Source organism: Homo sapiens, chromosome 1 (genome assembly GCF_000001405.40).
Source record: "Homo sapiens chromosome 1, GRCh38.p14 Primary Assembly".
Taxonomy (NCBI): domain Eukaryota; kingdom Metazoa; phylum Chordata; class Mammalia; order Primates; family Hominidae; genus Homo; species Homo sapiens.
The window spans coordinates 99852037-99872074 of record NC_000001.11 but is presented as its reverse complement, the minus strand read 5'-3'; the positions used below and the strand labels follow the sequence as shown (position 1 = coordinate 99872074).

General features: G+C 39.3%; 1 protein-coding gene across 12 annotated transcripts in view; it reads right to left on the bottom strand.

Moving 5' to 3' along the window:
- Positions 1 to 20038, bottom strand: part of AGL (amylo-alpha-1,6-glucosidase and 4-alpha-glucanotransferase) — a 74766-nt gene that overhangs the window by 51949 nt on the left and 2779 nt on the right. For 8 of the 12 annotated variants that reach the window (XM_005270557.3, NM_000643.3, NM_000644.3 and 5 more), the window contains exons 3-7: positions 10362 to 10572; positions 9652 to 9818; positions 7486 to 7689; positions 1494 to 1675; positions 1206 to 1317 (exon numbers count right to left, since the gene is read on the bottom strand). In XM_005270557.3, coding sequence (XP_005270614.1) covers positions 1206 to 1317; positions 1494 to 1675; positions 7486 to 7689; positions 9652 to 9818; positions 10362 to 10572 — 876 coding nt within the window. Of the gene's footprint in view, positions 1 to 1205; positions 1318 to 1493; positions 1676 to 7485; positions 7690 to 9651; positions 9819 to 10361; positions 10573 to 19371; positions 19515 to 20038 lie in introns of all 12 variants that reach the window. The other 4 variants (NM_001425328.1, NM_001425329.1, NM_000646.3 and 1 more) reach the window with 3 other exon arrangements.

Below are 20038 nucleotides of genomic sequence, written 5' to 3'. Positions count from 1 at the left end.
TAAATTCATATTGTCAACTAAAAGAACAAGTTGTTGACAATTTATGTTCTTATTTGCATGTGTAAAAAATAAAAATAAATATAAAATTTATGTACTTACCATATATAGAATTATATAAAATTATATATAAAATTGAATTTTTTTTCACAAAGAGTCTTAAGTACAAGAAACAATATGTAGTAGCTGAGATGTGGGTTTTGGGAAAGAAGAGGTCATACATTCTATTTTCTTACACATTTAAACTATTGGGCTTTTTCTCTTTACAATGAGCACATATTATTTCATGTAAATAATACAGGTTATTGGGGGAAGGGAAGATAGAGGCCCTTTAGTAAAATGAAACAGGGAGAAAAGTTAATATTAAAAATTCCTGTATTAAGGTGTTACACAATTGCAAAAGTTGATGCATGAAGCTGACTGAGTATCCTAGAGCTCAAGCCATATTGACGTCTACTTCAAAGGCACTATTTCTGAGTCCTACTCTAGTTCTGTTTTCTGCAAGAGAAAAAAAGTATTTTAAGATCTTCCCCAAATCCTCACTGCTAGGTTGTCCTATATGAAATGCAGATAGACTCTTAATAATCCTTTCTAATTTGTCTCCTACAAACCCTACTTTCTCATTTCACCTATTTTTTCCTACCCTATTTTGTTGGGGGGGGGGGGGCACATTAACTGCTTGATTAGTTATGTCCTTAATAGAAGACTCACTTCGTTACCTTTTGTTATCTCGTCAATATCTGGCTTCAATATCACTAGTGGTTAGGTGGCCTTAATAGTGCGCAAAATCAGCTGGGAGCCCCTCTACGTCAGTTAAGGTTCTTACTATAGACAACAGGAGACTATCACATCTCTCAATTTCAAAACTTGTTTCAAGCCTTTCTCAGCTGAAATAACCTGTTCAACCTACTTCCCATTCATACATTTAACAACTATATACTGGGTTCCACAATATTCTGAGCATTCTATGGAACTAACAGTAAGATACAGTACCCAGGGGAAATAATTGTGTTATGTATTATTATGACGTGCCCTTTAGATGTTTCTGCTAACTCTCAGCTTACAGAATCACAGTTTTATAATATCAACAATAACACAAATATAATACAATGACATATTTAATAATGACGTTACCCAAAAGAGAGTTTTCCCTTTATAATATTACATTTCTTAAAATCGATAGGAACATTCTAGTATGTATCCTTTACCTTGTGTAAGAAGTCTTCTAAATTGCTCAACCGCTTTGTTGACATCTACTTGGAAAAATTCCCAGAGTTTAAGCTTTGGAAAAATATCCTCCCAAATTATTTTTCGGATGGACTGAAAAATGTCAATAGTTAAAAAATACATATATACATATACTTATTTAAAATCAGTTAAGCAAATACTGTTTATCATATTAAAATACAGGTTCTAAGTAATTTTCAACCATATATTTAATGTGTGCTTTAGAAATTTTTTCTGTTTTAGTGTGATACTCCTCTGTACATACTGACATTCATATGGTGATCATTTTCAATCAAAGCAGGTATTCCCTTTTCTTTGTATTTCCCTTCTGCAACATCACAGGAGAAACGCCAAAGTGCTCTGTCTAAGACCCAGGCAGGTTTTAAGTGTGGAGAATTCACAAGATTATAGGCACATTCTGGATGTTCCTGGATCCATTTACTATTAGCAGCTGAAGGAAAAAGGAGACACAAAGGAGTATCTCATAATTAAATTGAAACTGTATCTATGTTAAGTTTAGAGGTGAAATAAAATATAAAGATCTACCACTCATTTTTTTCTATATTGGACATCAATTTTACGATGATACTGTTACAGGAAAAGTTTTTTCTTTGGTTATGGTATCCTATCATTCGCTTCAGCATACTTTTTTTTTTTCTAACTTTAATTCTGCTTAGAAAATCCGATGAAACAAAAAGCAACTCTCTCATAGGTAACACTTTTGTATGGCTCATCCTAAAGTGTTAATGAAATACGTTGTTTTGATAAGTTGGATAAAAGCGAGGTTGAGAAAGTGCTAAAATAAATACGCTCAAGGAATACGAATGTAGCTTATAGTTCAGAATCAGAATCAGGAGTTTGGCACAGTATTCCAAATATTTACAACATTGAAGATAATTTGTTTTGGCCAGGCACGGTAGCTCAACCCCAGCACTTTGTGGGAGTGGAGGTTGGATAGCCTGCAGGAGTTCAAGACCAGCTTGGGCAACACAGTGAAACCTTATATCTACCTATTTAAAAACAGATAATTTGTTTTAATTTAAAATAAACGAATGAAAGTTACATGGAATTTGTTTGATCTTTAAAATGGACTAATAATTATCCCTGAATTCATATTGAAGAGCATGAGTGATTAATGTGTATAAAATAAAAAGTAGTAACAATTACTGAATATTTACCACATACCAGAAATTGTTCTAAGCAGTTAAATACACTAATTTATTATTCCTCACTTCCTACCACACAAATTAGGACATACTGTTATGTTCCCTTAACAAAAGAGAAACTGAAGCACAGAGAGTTAAGTAACTCAGCCCAAGTCATACAGTCAGGAATTAACTTGGCCAAGTCTCTCTTCAGAATATGCAATCTTAACCACATTGCTCTGCTGCTGAAATGAATTGTTTGTGCTTCATTTACTCAGCTGAGCACCCTTATATAATTTTAGAATCATTATTATTTCCAGTTTCAGTCATTTATTTAGTAAGTCATTTATTTACTTAGTATTTATTCATACCCATAATAAGCACTCAGATGAAGAAAGGCTATGTAAGGAGCAGAGAAGTTGTAATAAAAGTTAAATTGGTAATTCTCAAAACTTGCATTAAGTAGTTCCTCCGAGATTCATCAACACAATCACTGAAATTCAAGGTATTTTTCAAAATGACAAAATGTAGTAATAACTTATGTCCAAATAGGATTTTCACGTATAAAAAATAAATATTGGGGCTAGGTGCAGTGGCTCACGCCTGTAATCTCAGCACTTTGGGAGGCTGAGGAGGGAGTATCACCTGAGTCCAGGAGCTGGAGACAGCCTGGGCAACATAGTGAGACCTCATCTCTACAAAATTTTTAAAAAATTAGCTGAGCATGGTGGCATGTGCCTAAAGTCCCAGCTACTCAGGAGGCTAAGGTGGGAGGGCTGCTTGACCCCAATAAGTGGAGGTTGCAATGAACTGAGATTGTGCCACTGCACTACAGCCTGGGTGACAGAATGAGACCCTGTCTCAAAAAAAAAAAAAAAAAGAGTAAATACCAATGCTGCTCTCATTCATCCATTTATTTTTGAGAAAGGTCTTTCTCCATCACCCAGGAGTGCAGGAGTGCAGTGGTGCAATCATAGCTCACTGCAGCCTTGAACTCTAGAGCTGAAGTGATCCTCCTGCCTCAGCCTCCCAAGTAGTCAGGACGACAAGTGTATGCCAACACACACAGCTAATTTAAATTTTTCCCTTTTTTTGAGACAGAGTCTTGCTTTGTCACCCAGGCTGGAGTACAGTGGCACAGTCTCGGCTCACTGTAACCTCCACCTCCTGGGTTCAAGTGATTCTCCTGCCTCAGCCTCTGGAGTAGCTGGGATTACAGGCGCCCACCACCATGCCCGGCTAATTTTTGTATTTTTAGTAGAGATGGGGTTTCACCATGATGCCCAGGCTGGTCTCAAACTCCTGACCTCAGGTGACCCATCCGCCACGGCCTCCCAAAGTGCTGGGATTACAGGTGTGAGCCACTCCACCCGTCCCCAATTTTTAAAATAGCAAAATCCTAAAACTGTTTCTTTTTTCAATATTTTGAAACAAAAATCAACTGTAAAATGAAAGAATTCTAAACAATAGGTAGTGAAAATATTTTTTTCTAATTCTACATGAAAGAAGAGTCAAACTCCAAACTATGTTTTAACACACATCAACATTAAAAAATAAATATGGACTTCTGGAGTGATACAGTAAGAAACTCAACAAACACTGTCCCTAGCAAAACAATTTAACTGGTGAAAATAATTTTAAAAACAATCATTTAGTCCCTGGAAATTATCCTAGGGCATTCAGCATAAGAAGAAACATTTATTTAAGATAAGAACAGCAAGAGTCTTGGCATTTGAACCAAGACCTTTTCCAGGGCAAATGGGTTCCCAGTGTTCTTGGCCTGCTACTTGTGGGAAAGGATGTCAGCTCTGCAAGTAGGGGCTGGGTGGAGAAAAGGAGATTTTTCTCCACCTGCCTGCTTGGAATAGAACTTCTGCAACACGGCCGGGTGCGGTGGCTCACGCTTTGGGAGGCCAAGGCAGGGTGGATTGAGACGAACCTGGCCAATATGGCGGGACTCCAACTCTACTAAAAATATAAAAATTAGCCAGGCATGGTGGCTCATACCTGTAATTCCAACTACTCGGGAGGCTGAGGCACAAGAATCGCTTGAACCCGGGAGGTGGAGGCTGCAGTGAGCCAAGACTGCGCCACTGCACTCCAGCCTGGGCGACAGAAGGAGACTCCGTCTCAAAAAAAAAAAGAGAAAAAAAAATTAAAAAAAAAGAACTTCTGCAAGACAGGGCCGGCAGGGAGAATTAAAAACACTCATAGACTGTGCCTCTTAGCATGAAACTATAACCCCAGGCTGGGAGTTGGGAGGAGAGAATGTCTCCCTCTTGGCCACACCTACCAGGAGTGGAGCACCTGTGATACAGCTTCCATAACAGAGGCATTTGTGTAAGATAATGGAGCAGGTCTTGGTTCAATCACCAAGGACTCCTGTTCTTACTAAGATGTAGTAGATCTTCATATGTTTCTCCATATGCTAAATATCCGTAGGACAATTTCAAGGGGATTTAAGTGATTGTCTTAAAATAATTTTCACCAGTTAGGGTTGTTTCACTACGTAAAGAGTGTGTGAAGCCTTCACATAACCATTCTGGAGGTTGAATTCTGCTAGATAATACTTTTTTAAAAGAAAACTGGCTGGGCACAGTGGCTCACGCCTGTAATCCCAGCACTTTGGGAGGCCAAGGTGGGCGGATCACTTGAGGTCGGGAGTTCAAGAACAGCCTGACCAACATGAAGAAACCCCATCTCTACTAAAAATACAAAAATTAGCTGGGTGTGTTGGTGCATGCCTGTAATCCCAGCTACTTGGGAGGCTGAGGCGGGAGAATCACTTGAACCTGGAAGGTGGAGGTTGCGGTGAGCCGAGATCGCGCCATTGCACTCCAGCCTGGGCAACAAGAGTGAAACTCCATCTCAAAAAAAAATAAAATAAATAAAATAAATAAATAAAAGAAAACTTGTTTCACAGAAAGGATATTACGATTTGCAACACTTTTCAAGTAAGGCTGTGGCAAGGTTTACTTCTTTTACATTGCACAGAATCTCCCAAATGTCTCAGAAATACAGTCTGTGGTAGAGACTGCTGCTGTACTCAGTTTTATCCTCCCTTTCTTTCTTTAGTAATAAAATTCCCAAGGTTCAACTTTACACATAGCTGACAAACTCAAGACTACGCTGCAGGTCTCCTTTAAGGTAGGTATGGCAAGAGACAAATTCCTGTGATGCAATATGAACACAGTAATATATATCATATCATACCCAAAAAGACATGCCTGCCCTTTCCTCATTTCCACTGGGGAGAATGTGGTAGCAGGAGCTGGAATAGCCATATCTGACTAAGAATTTGAAGCAAAGTGTTGGAGACTGCAGAGCAACATGAGAGAAACTAGTTCCCTATCACCACTGAACTACCATCCTAGTCCAGGAATGCCTATCTAATCTTTTGTAAGAAATAAATACAATTTTAGCCTTTAGTCCCTATGTTTTTCTGTTATAGCTGCTTATGCCATATCCTAACTCATACAATTTATAACTCATAAAATGCCCTTATGTGGTTTGATAAATCTGATTTCAATAATATTATAGATCTCAAAGTGATTATCAAGACTGTCAAATTTTCCTTTACAATTTTTTTACATTATTTTGTAAGAGATGGGGGTCTCATTATGTTGCCAAGGCTGGTTTCAAACTCCTGGCCTCAAGTCATCCTCCCACTTCAGCCTCTCAAGCAGCTGGGATTACAGGTGCAAGCCACAGCACCTGGCTTAATAATGTCAAATTTTCAAATGAAGAATACTGAGTTCTTAGGTATTATGAAGTTTTCACCGTAGAACTGGAGGCTTGGTTTCTAGGTACATGCAGAAACACCAAATTTTAGAATGTACCTATTTCTTTACCTAACTTTGCCATTATGATTAGAGATTTTTATTTATATTGATGAACCAGATCTATGAGCTTTTAAATATCTTCATAGTTTCTATGGTTACTTGGAGAACTGTTTTATGAAACAGCAGATTGTATCTTTTAAATGTTTGTACCAACTAGAATTCTTGTTCTTTACATATGCAAATCAGTGGTTTCCAAACTTTTCTACATTGTAGCATACACACAAGATAACATTTGTAAGGTAAACTGGGTTAAACCCAAAGCTGCTGATGGCCACGCTTTGTCAGGCTAGGCCAGGCCAGGCTCAGCTCCTCTGACAGGTGAGGGGAGCAACCATTTCCTCAAGGATCACTAGCTGGAAAAATCTGATCTATTTTAATAGAATTATATACCACTAAGGAATCTTAGGAACCAAAACAGACTAAATTTAATAAGCTCTTTTAACATGTAGAAGACATAATTTCCAAATACAACTTCTGAGAGTTTACTAATAAGTTTCTCTCCAAATAATAGAAGTCATTCAGTTTTTTCATATATGCTATAGTACTATAGTACCAGAGCTCCTGCTAATATAGGATCCATGAGTTACTTGGGAAAGGATTAATAGAGTAGTCCCCTCTTATCCTTAGGGGTACCTTCCAAGACCTCAAGTGGATGTGTAAAACTATAGATAGTATGAAACCCTATATATATATATATTTTGATATTTTGTGTTTTTTTATCTGATAACTGAGCAGGCTATTAAGTAACTGGTGGACAGGTAGTATTTACAGCATGGATGCACTGGACAAAAGGATGAGTCACATTCCAGGTGGGATAGAGCAGGATGGCATGAGAGTTTGTCATGTTACTTAAAACAGCATGAAAATTAAAACTTATGAATTGCTGATTTCTGGAATATTCAATATTTTTGAAATGTGATTGACTGCAGGTAACTGAAACCTCAGAAAGCAAAACTGCGAATAAGGGGGGACTACTGTACTGTAAGTTGAAATATGTGATCATTATGTTCCTTCTATGATCACTCTCCTGTATTTATAAGCAACAGATGCAAGATACTTATATATTGACTTAATCCTCAATTAAGAATGTTTTCTTTGAAAGGAAAAATATTAATTTTTTAAACAGAAGGACACCTAATCATCATTTGTGTTTTTAAAATTTATGTTAGCCCCTTTCCTTTCTCTTTCTTTCTTCCTTTCTCTTATTTGTGTGTATATGTGTGTGTGCATAAATTCTCATCAAAATTAATGAAGGCAGTCAATGAAGCTCATACCAGTATGATTGTAGACAACATCAGTAATACAAATAACATTCCATTCCTTTTTTAATTTTTCCACTAGCTGTCCAACATCATTCCAGGTATACTTTCTATTAGGTCTTGAAAAGTCAGGATTTAATTCTAACTGATTGGCAAGGGAGTAGCATGACCTAGATAGTCCAAGAGTCTGCAATGGGGTAAAATGAATCATGTTGTAGCCTGCAAAGCAAATAAAGGAAAGACCACTGTAAAAACAAACAAACAAAACCAGCCTAAAATGAAGAAAATATAAATTTAAACTTTCTTAAGTAATTATAAATAGCAAGGCAAGCATGCTACTGGAAAAGAGGTCAAACACTTGGGTTCAAATCCTAACTGTACCACAAGAGACTTTAAGCAAGTTTATTTAAATCTTTCAAGATATGTGTCCTCATATACAAGACAGAGATAATGAGATAATATTTGAAAAAATTCACACACACTGCCTATTAGAAAATTTATATACTTAACATGTAGTAAATTTATCTTCTACGAGTATATCAACACGTGTTTCTACTACTTTTAATGTTCCATAGTACTTGTATTCTGTTTTAGTTATGTCAGTGAACTTCTCATTCCTTTCTTCATGTATTATCCAACTTAAAAGCAGAAAATTAATATTGAGATCAGGTGCAGTGGTTTGCACCTGTAATCCCAGCACTTTGGGAGGCCAAGGCAAGAGGACTACTTGAGCCCAGGAGTTCAAGACCAGCTTGGGCAACACAGTGAGACTTTTGTCTCTACAAAAAATAGATCAGGCCACTGCACTCCAGTCTGGGTGACAGAGACACTGTCTTAAAAAAAAAAAAAAAAAAAAGGCCAGGCGCAGTGGCTCATGCCTGTAATCCCAGCACTTTGGGAGGCTGAGGCAGGTGGATCATGAGGTCAGGAGATCGAGACCATCCTAACACCGTGAAACCCTGTCTCTACTAAAAATACAAAATATTAGCCAGGCGTGGTGGCAGGCGCCTGCAGTCCCAAGCTACTCGGGAGGCTGAGGCAGAAGAATGGTGTGAACCCAGGAGGCGGAGCTTGCAGTGAGCCGAGATTGCGCCAAAATGAAACACAAGTTTCATTTTGCTCTTGGTATTTATGGTAGCACATGTCTTCTACACAAAAGATGGTTAACCAATGTTTGTTGAATTAAAATGATACATAATGATAATACATTTTCCTTCACTTTTCAATAGCTTATTTCTGATTTTTATATGGTAAAGTCTTAGAAATGATAAGTGTTTCATTATGGAGTTCCTTCATTTCTTAAGCTGAACCACAAAATTTGCCATTTTTATAGGTTAAAAATGGTTAAGTATCAAAAATGTAATATGGGCCAAGCACAGCAGCTCATGCCTATAATCCCAGCACTTTGGGAGGCCAAGGTGGGCAGATCACGAGGTCAGAAGTTTGAGACCAGCCTGGCCAACATGGTGAAACCCCGTCTCTACTAAAAATACAAAAATTAGTGAGGCATGGTGGCAGGTGCCTATAATCCCAGCTACTCAGGAGGCTGAGGCAGGAAAATCGTTTGAACCCGGGAGGTGGAGGTTGTAGTGAGCTGAGATCGCACCATTGCAGCCTACGTGACAGGGTGATACTCCGTCTCAAAAAAAAAAAATTTTTTTTTAATATGGTTCTATCTACTTATATTACTAAATAATAAGAAACAAAATTAAACATAGAGGCAAAAAGATATGGTTTGGATTTGTGTCCCTGCCCAAATCTCATTCGAATTGTAATCCCCGATGTTGGAGGAGGGGCCTGGTGAGAGGTGTTTGATCACAGAGGTGGATTTCCCCCTTGTTCTCATGATAGTGAGTGAGTTTTCACAAGATCTGGTTGTTTAAAAGCACGTAGCACCTCCCACTTTGTTCTCTTCCTCCTTCTCTGGCCATGTAAGACATGCCTGCTTCCCCTTTGCCTTCTGCCATGACTGTAAGTTTCTTGAGGCCTCCCCAGCCATGCTTCCTGTATAGCCTGCGGAACTGTGAGTCAAACCTCTTTTCTTTATAAATTACCCAGTCTCAGGTAGTTCTTTACTGCAATGAGAGAATGGACTAATACACAAAACTTTTGAAATCTATATCACAGAGGATAATTACATTTATTTTTTTAAATAAGAAAAAGAAAGCAAGCTGACATTACCTGATTCTTTTGCAACCCTAAGTCTGCTTTCCCATTCATCAAAAGGTCCCAAACACTTAGCTAAAAATGTCTGAAGAGTAACACAGTCCAAGGGTAGCACATGATTATCAGCACCAACACGTAAAATGGGGTCCACAACTATGTAACCTCCACCACTTTTCTCATTTCTAAGGGAAAAAACAAAACAAAAACTTTTCAGTCAGTGATAGAAAAAAAATCCTCATATAATATAGTCTGACTCTAACTAAAAGGTTAATTGTCCCAAATAAAATGTATTTATTTCTAAGCACATAAAATCATTTTAAAAGTTGCAACAAAACTTAATGGAAAAGCTACTTTTACCCTTTCACAATCTACATAATTACATGTATAATACACAAAATATCCAAGAATGTTGGTTTAATGAAATATAAGTATACTAAAACCTATCAGTAATAACAAGGGCACGCAAATAAACAGCAACCTATAATCAGGTTGCATGAAATTACTACATTTTAAGATGTTACTTAAAATACATTTACTTGATACTTTAGCTCTGCAATGGACCATAAAATTACCTCCTAGAAATCAAAGAATATTCTATTTGCATCTCAAGGAAGCACTATAAAAATTGCACTGCCATGGTTCATACAGTAACATTTACAAGTTAGGTGACTTCAAATTACAGAACAAATTAACTTTTTTTCTCACAAACAAAACACCTGACTTACCCTTGAAGGAAATAATACTGAAATGAACCAGATTGTTGCAGATTAAGTTTACAGTATTTATCAGAATCATCTTCTCTTTCTGTTGGATTTTCCCAATCCAGAGAACGGAATTTTTCTCTATTAAATGTTTCTCCAGGAAATGGGTAATTTGTATACACGGTAACTGCTTTTCCCTGTAAAGTTGGGCCTAATCGGAACTGTAGCTCATACCCTAAATAAAAAGCACATGTTAATAAACTCATCGTAGGACTTAAATTACCACATTGAAAAACAGATGTTTTATTTAAAGTATTAAAAAACCTTGATTTTTCAATTATGTTTAAAATAACTCCGCAAACCTAATGCTGTTTTGGCACTACTTTGTATTCCAATTTAGCTGAATTTCACATTTTAGCAAGTATAGTAAACATCATAGAGCTGTCTGCTCTGTAATGTCTCTTTCTCCTTCCCCTGGAAACGCATTCCTATTCACATAGCAACTTGGGATGTGCAAATTCTTATACAACCCCATTTACCATGATCCCCCATCCTCACCCCTGAATTAAGTACCCAATGGCAGGCATCTGAGGAGAGACCTTCTCTAGTATTTTTCTAACTGCAACAGAGAAAGCTAGTTTCTCTATGGTGTCAGAAAGTATGTGATAGTCTGTAAAACTTGGGAGCTACCATGGGACTATTATCTCACCATACTGAGAAAGCTAGTCTTCACTGACAGAAGTCAACCTCTATAGAGGCAGAATTCAGGATTCTAACAGGAGTTCTGAAGGCAACTGAACCCGACTGATATCTGCTCAAGTCCAGTGATGTGCTAATAAAGATTTAGCAACTGACTAGGGTGGTGGGAACCTCTGACTTGGAGTGTTTGCTGACTTTCTGGTGGAAATAATCCCGACATGGGCAATCTTAAGCTACCAACACGACAACATTGAACGTGGAAGTGGGAAGGGATGTGCACAATCAGCTCTTGTGAGCCAGCAAAAGCACCTCCAACACACTACTGCCTATATCCCTATGCTTCATGGTTTAGTTACTAAAGCTGTCTTGTAATCCTGAGAGCCAATGCATTTCTACTTTTGCCCAAGTTAGGTTATTTTTAAAAAAACATACCTTAGACTTGTGCAATGTGTTACAAATATTTTGCCATAAGCGAAAACAAATAAGCACATTACAGTTAAAACTGTACTGTGAAAGAAACATTTTGGTTGGTTTAAAGCAGACTTTAAACCTTCTTTATAATTATTAGAATACAAAAATACTGACTATGGTCAAGTCTATTAGAAATATAATACATATAAATTTTAAACACGAATATAACTTTCAATTAATAATGGGCAATAATAACTGATGAGGCAGGAAAGTTTAGTTCCACTGAGTAAAATCTTTAATATCTAAGGAATTTCTTTGAGAGGAAAAAAACTAATATTTACCTATTTAATATATATTATTTATAATTTATAATCCTTGACTTATTAAACATCCAACAAAGTAATAAAAGAGGATATACTAACAGGGATATTTTCTGTGAACAAAAGATTTCAGTAAAAGACACTAAGAGAATGCTCTATAGTGAAACTAAGAATTTCTTCTCTAAGCAACTAAATGTACTTTTTCTATAATACAATTTGGCATTAATATATTAAGAATGTTTATATTTTTTGATCTAGGAATTTTATATAGATTTTTTGAGAAAAGTATCAGTGATGTAAACAGAGATTATGTATAAGGATATTTATCACAGCCTCATTTATTGAAATGAAATAAACTGACAACAACCTAAATATCTAATGATTGGCAGTGATTAAATAAATTATGGTAAATCTACAAGCTGGCATATTGTAAAGCCATTATAAATCATGTTATCAAAAGACATTTGGCCAGGCACAGTAGCTCACGCCTGTAATCTCAACACTCTGGGAGGCCGAGGCGAGAGGATCACCTGAGGTCAGAAGTTTGAGACCAGCCTGACCAACATGGTGAAACCCCATCTCTACTAAACGCAAAAATAGCTGGGTGTGGTGGTGTGCACCTGTAATCCCAACTACTCAGGAGGCTGGGGCAGAATTGCTTCAACCCAGGAGGCAGAGGTTGCAGTGAGCTAGGATCGCACCACTGCACTCCAGCATGGGTGACAGAGCAAGACTCCATTAAAAAAAAAATGTAATAACCACTTTTAATTTATTCTATTTTGTTACATTGTACACATTTATGTAGAGCTTTTAAAATATCTTCTGGAAAAAAGTATGGCTGAAACATGGCAGTAGGCAGGGAGGTAGAGTACATACACCATAATACTACTACAAACGGGAAAAAGGCAGGTTACAAAATTGTTTAGATAGTATAATCCTAATTAAAAAAAAAACACAGAAAAAATGCTTTTTATACATTTGCATAATTTTATAATTAGGGAAAACATTTTAAAATTAGAGCTACAATTATGAAGGGATAGACTAAGAAATAATTACAGAAAGAATTAAAACATGAAGTAAAATACTTAGTGACTGAGAAGCATAAACATTTACATCTCACAAGAATGACTAAATTTATCTTTAGGAGAAATAGTGTCATTTTGAACAAGTACAAACAGCAGAGATTAGCTGTCTGGGTATATGTGTACAACCTGTCCCCTGTTAAGTTTATACAAATACTGTTTTTATAATTACACAAGTATTCAGAGAACTTGCAGAGCAAAGGTTAAAACTCATCTAAAATCTCCAAAACAGTATTTGGATCAGTGCTCTACCTTCAGGAAAAAACCCCAATAATTCCCAAGCTAAGTCATTTATTTATATAATATATATGTATGATGTTCTCATAGATTATGTAAATTATAAAATATAAAAGTTAACTTAATGGGATAAGATATAAATGAAATAAATAATATTTAAATAATACATTTTATTTATTAGTGGGTAGAAAAAACCTTTTGGCTCTCACTAAAAATTAATATTGATAATATCTCTCAGTGAAAATGTAACTAAATAAATTTCATTATTTTAAAAAGTCTTGGTTTTAATATTTTGTAATAAAGTGATTCAAAGATTTCAAGTTCTACTTATTTTGGGTAAAATCATATAATGATGAAAGAAGCATTTCTAAAAATATATATTCAAAATGCTTTCACTATAGCAAGGGTTGGCAAAGTATATCCAGCCTAATCCCCATTTCTGTAAATGAAGTTTTACTGGAACACAGCCACATCCATTCATGTATGTTTGCCTATGGCTGCTTTCCTGCTACAATGGGAGTTGAGTCGCTCCAATAGGGAGTGCATTGCCTGAAAAGCTGCAAAGATTTGCGATCTGAACTTTTGCAGGAAAATATGTGCCAAACTCTGCTCCAAGCATCAATTTCCTTCAAAAAAGCACTTAACTTTCTCACTCATGTTTACATCAAAGACTTAAGTTTTTATTTTTTCTGAAAATATTTTCTAAGTATCATACTATCTAATGCTACTTGTTATTTCTGAAAAGGACGAATCTCAAACACTTTCTAACTCATCTTTTAAGTTCGATCACTCCTGTGAGGTAAAAGAACTATTCTTGGTTACTCTACCTCTCCTTACAAAGTAATATAGAGACTGTTATTTAAGATAATATAACCCGTAAAGCTACTTAACCTAGCTTAAGTAAAAGTGCAATGCATGGCAACATACTGCAAACAAATGAGGGTGTGATTGTCAACCCCTTCCAGACCTACAACCTCTACGTTTTCTTCTGAGTATGCCTTTTTTGTTTGTAACTTATCTGACATACAAACTGAGAGCATAATTCATATATTAACGTAATTCAATGTTGCTAACATATAACAGACTTAAAAAACTAAAACAGGTAGAGAGAAAAGAAAAGAGCCCTCTCCCTCTTCCCCCCTCCCCCTCCCCCTCCCCACGGTCTCCCTCTCCCCCCTCCCCCTCCCCACGGTCTCCCTCTGATGCCGAGCCAAGGCTGGACTGTACTGCCGCCATCTCGGCTCACTGCAACCTCCCTGCCTGATTCTCCTGCCTCAGCCTGCCGAGTGCCTGCGATTGCAGGCGCGCGCCGCCACGCCTGACTGGTTTTCGTATTTTTTTGGTGGAGACGGGGTTTCGCTGTGTTGGCCGGGCTGGTCTCCAGCTCCTAACCGCGAGTGATCCACCAGCCTCGGCCTCCTGAGGTGCCGGGATTGCAGACGGAGTCTCATTCACTCAGTGCTCAATGTTGCCCAGGCTGGAGTGCAGTGGCGTGATCTCGGCTCACTACAACCTCCACCTCCCAGCCGCCTGCCTTGGCCTCCCAAAGTGCCGAGACTGCAGCCTCTGCCCGGCCGCCACCCCGTCTGGGAAGTGAGAAGCGTCTCTGCCCGGCCACCCTTCGTCTGGGATGTGAGGAGCCCCTCTGCCCGGCTGCCCAGTCTGGGAAGTGAGGAGCACCTCTTCCCGGCCGCCATCCCATCTAGGAAGTGAGGAGCGTCTCTGCCCGGCCGCCCATCGTCTGAGATGTGGGGAGCGCCTTTGTCCCGCCGCCCCGTCTGGGATGTGAGGAGCGCCTCTGCCCGGCTGCGACCCCGTCCGGGAGGTGAGGGGCGCCTCTGCCCGGCCGCCCCTACTGGGAAGTGAAGAGCCCCTCTGCCCGGCCAGCCGCCCCGTCCGGGAGGGAGGTGGGGGGGTCAGCCCCCTGCCCGGCCAGCCGCCCCATCCGGGAGGTGAGGGGCGCCTCTGCCTGGCCGCCCCTACTGGGAAGTGAGGAGCCCCTCTGCCTAGCCACCACCCCGTCTGGGAGGTGTACCCAACAGCTCATTGAGAACGGGCCATGATGACGACGGCGGTTTTGTGGAATAGAAAAGGGGGAGAGGTGGGGAAAAGATAGAGAAATCAGATTGTTGCTGTGTCTGTGTAGAAAGAAGTAGACATGGGAGACTCTATTTTGTTCTGTACTAAGAAAAATTCTGCCTTGGGATGCTGTTGATCTATGACCTTACCCCCAACCCTGTGCTCTCTGAAACATGTGCTGTGTTCACTCAGGGTTAAATGGATTAAGGGTGGTGCAAGATGTGCTTTGTTAAACAGATGCTTGGAGGCAGCATGCTCCCTAAGAGTCATCACCACTCCCTAATCTCAAGTACCCAGGGACACAAACACTGTGGAAGGCCGCAGGGTCCTTTGCCTAGGAAAACCAGAGACCTCTGTTCACTTGTTTATCTGCTGACCTTCCCTCCACTATTGTCTTATGACCCTGCCAAATCCCCCTCTGCGAGAAACACCCAAGAATGATCAATAAAAATAAATAAATAAATAAATAAATACAAGAAAAGAAAAGAAAGGGAAGAAGGAAGGAAAGAAGGAAGGAGGGAGGGAGGGAGGAAGGGAGGAAGGAAGGGAGGGAGGGAGGGAGGGAGGGAGGGAGGGAGGGAGGAAGGAAGGGAGGGAGGGAGGAAGGAAGGAAGGGATGTTATATTTTCTTTCTGTAGCCCAATAGATATATCAGCGCATACCCCAAGGGATACATAGCCACTCTGTAGACCTCTAATGCAAATCACTGAAACTAAAATTTTTATATACAGTAAATGAAACATCAGAGAGCCTACAGTAGGTCAGATTCCATGACTCAGTTTGCTAAAATTAGCTGAGGTCATAGCAGTACATGGTGTGGCTATCTTATTCCTCATACTAATGCTAGGATACTTAACTTGCATTAGCCATGTCTCTCTTGTAGGCAACTAGCATAATGAGTGATTAAACTATTATTGTAAATAAATATGTTCTATCTTTTCCCCTCCACTCAATTTATAGAAACTCAGTCTTCTAATCAAAGAACCTTTATGTCTAAATATTTTCTTTAAAAAATAGTAAAAATTATAAATTTCATCAACCTACTTAAAAGATGGAAGAATTTCAGATTTGGGAAGTACTTATTTTGTTCATTATTCTTTTTTTTTTTTGAGACCGAGTCTCGCTCTGTTGCCCAGGCTGGAGTACAGTGGTGTGATCTTGGCTCACTGCAACCTCTGCCTCCTGGGTTCAAGCGATTCTCCTGCCTTAGCCTCCTGAATAGCTGGGACTACAGGTGCATGTCACCACATCTGGCTAATTTTTGTATTTTTGGTAGAGATGGGGTTTCACCATGTTGGCCAGGCTGGTCTTGAACTCCTGATCTCAGGTCAACTACCCGCCTCGGCCTCCCAAAGTGCCGGGATTACAGGAGTAAGCCACCGTGCTCGGCCTGATTTTATTCATTATTCTACCACTAAATGAGATAGGAAATAAGCGAAAAAGCTATGATTTGTCTAGAAAAGATCATTATTTATTCTTGTACTTGTTGAACTGGAAGAATCTATAGAAATATCAGTCTTAAAAACGAGGAGGAATTCCTTCTTGTAGAAAAGAGAGAAGGAAAGAAATATGAGGGCTTTGATGACCAATTAAATATGAAACAGCCAAAAACTGCCAGAGTTTTTCCTCACATTTGATTGGTTACCAAGTCCTCTGAACTTGAAAATAACTCATACTTTGTCCTCTCTTTTTCTTTTTTCTTTTTTTTTGAGTCGGAGTCTCGCTCTGTTGCCCGGGCTGGAGTGCATTGGCACGATCTTGGCTTACTGAAACCTCCGCATCCTGGATTCAAGCAATTCTCCTGCCTCAGCCTCCCAAGTAGCTGGGATTACAGGCACCCGCCAGCACGCCTGGCTAATTTTTATATTTTTAGGAGAGACAGGGTTTCACCATGTTGGCCAGGCAGGTCTCAAACTCCTGAACTCAGGTGATCCGCCTGCCTTGGCCTCCCAAAGTGCCAAGATTACAGGTGTGAGCCACCGCGCCTGGCCTTGTCCTCTCTTTTTCAACTCAGGCTGTTCAATCCTTTTCTTTAATCAGATGTGTTTTTAAAATAGCCTTCTCAATGCTTCTTGTCTCCAATGTCCCTTCTCTACCACTCTTCCACTCATCTTTCACATTTCAAATTATCTTTTTTTTTTTTTTTGAGACGGCATCTTGCTCTGTCACCCAGGCTGGAGTGCAGTGGCGCAATCTCAGCTCACTGCAAGCTCCGCCTCCTGGGTTCACGCCTTTCTCCTGCCTCAGCCTCCCGAGTAGCTGGGACTAGAGGCGCCCGCCACCAGGCCCGGCTAATTTTTTTTGTATTTTTAGTAGAGACGGGGTTTCACTATGTTAGCCAGGATAGTCTCGATCTCCTGACCTCGTGATCCGCCCGCCTCGGCCTCCCAAAGTGCTAGGATTACAGGCGTGAGCCACCGCACCCGGCTTCAAATTATCTTCTAAAACAAAATGATCACACCATTACTGCAAAAAAAGGTGGCACATTCTCATTTATAACATTTGGATACATTTACCGGTTTTAACCAGAGTTATAAAGTCAACCACATCATTCTTTTTTCATAAATCCTTCAATTTCCCTCTTCAAATAGGTTAGCTTTTACAATTTTTGCTAGTTTTAACTAGAGTTCTAGTAATCAATCAGCAGTACACTGCACTAAGTTTGTAAGGCTGTCCCTATCCTCACAGATTTTATTTTATTTTTTATTTTTTTTTAAGATAGAGTTTTGCTCTTGTTGCCCAGGCTGGAGTGCAATGGTGTGATCTCAGCTCACTGCAACCTCTGCATCCCAGGTTCAAGCGATTCTCCTGCCTCAGCCTCCCAGGTAGCTGGGATTATAGGCATGCGCCACCACGCCTGGCTAATTTTTGTATTTTTAGTAGAGAAGGGGTTTCACCATGTTGATCAGGCTGGATGGTCTCAAAATCCTGACCTGGGGTGACCCACATGCCTCGGCCTCCCAAAGTGCTGGGATTATAGGTGTGAGCCACTGCGCCCGGCCCTTTATTTTTGTTTTTTAAAGACAGGGTCTCACTCTGTCACCCAGGCTGGAGTGCAATGGTGGGATCATAGCTCACTACAGCCTTTAACTCCTGGGCTCAAGAGATCCTCCAGCCTCAACCTCCTAGGTAGCTGGGGACCACAGGCAAGCACCATCATGCCCAGCTAATTTTGTTTCTTTTTTGTGGAGATAAAGTCTTACTATGTTGTCCAGGCTGACCATGAACTCCTGGCCTCAAGTGGTCCTCCAGCCTCAGCCTCCCAAAGCACTGAGATTACAAGTGTGAGTCACCTGCCCTCATCAATTCTCACAGATTTTAAACCCTAGTCTGACACTGTAAGACTAACAAGCCTTTAGACACTGCTTCATTATTCAGCACTTAATAGTTCTGTGCTCATTGTGTAATTGGAAATCAAAGGAAGCAGACAGTGAAAAATTAGGGAAAGACTTCACAAAGGAGGTGATATTCTAGCTGAAAGTTGAAACTTAGGCAACACATAGACTGACAGTAAATGAGATTTAACAGATATAAAGGAATCTGATGGGAGTACGGGTATAAGGACAGGCATGAGAAAACCTGCTGAGAAGGGAATTAACAGGAATGACTTGGGCAACTGTAAAGATCTATGACATTAATGATGGAGAATGAGATACAATCTTGGCTAAGGAAGGTGTAGTCTCATTACAGAATGTCTTAGAAGTCAGACAGAGGTATTTAAATTTGATTTTATACATACCACTTAATAACAAAGGGAAGAGACTGCATAAGATTATTCTGGCATCTATATTCAGCCATACAGAATAGACAGGCAATCAGAGATATTTGGAAAGAAACTGCAAGCTTAAAAAGAGACTGCAGGAAAAGAGAAGAAATCATCAAAGAATATAAGGTTTCTACCCTGGGAACTATAAAAATGGAGATGCCACGAAATAAACAGGGAAGCTGAGAAATAAAGGATCGAGAATGGGCAGGGGATATTTTTGGACATGCTAGATTTAAGCATATCCAAGTTGAGCTATCCTAATACTATTCTATTGCATAATATCAGGTTGAAGCCAAGGTCCAGGGTGGGAATACATGGAGTGATTCATATCAATGCCTTATATTTATTTAGGGCTTTATCACAAAAAATTCATGTATTATTAATTTTGAGTCTCAAAACCTAGAAAGGTAGAAGAACAGAAATTACCACTTTCATCTCACCAATAAATAAATTAATGCTCAGAATTGGGGCCATGCCCGGTGGCTTATGCTTGTAATCCCAGTACTTTCAGAGGCCAAAGAGGGAGGGTTGCTTGAGTCCAGGAGTTCAATATCAACCTGGGCAACATAGTGAGACCCAGTTTCTACAAAAAAAAAAAAAAAAAAAATTAGCGGGGCATAGTGATGTATGCCTGCAGTCCCAGCTACTTGGGAGGCTGAGGCAGGAGAACTGCTTGAGCCCAGGAAGTTGAGGCAGCACTGAGCCATGATCATGCCACAACACTCAGCTTGGGCAACAGAGTAAGACCCTGTCTCAGAAAAAGAGAAAAGGAAAAAAAAAAAAAAAAAAAAAGAAATGAATGCTCAGAATTAATGTAACTTGCCCCAAGTCAGCTTGTTAGCAGCAGAGCCAGGAGAATTCTGGCTCTAGATCTACCCGTCATCAAATGCTGAAAGCTTCCAAGAAGAAGAAAGCTCAAGGCTTTTCCTCCAAAAGTAGTCATTAGCACAGAGGCAACAGTTGAGGCCATGAGACTGTGTAACTAATTCTTTGAAGGAGAACAGAAAAAGAATTCCTAGCAGATACCCATAATTAATTAAAAAGTGAAAGGAAGAGAGCCTAGTAAGAGACACCAAGTTGACAAGAATATGCAACAGGGGAGGGGGA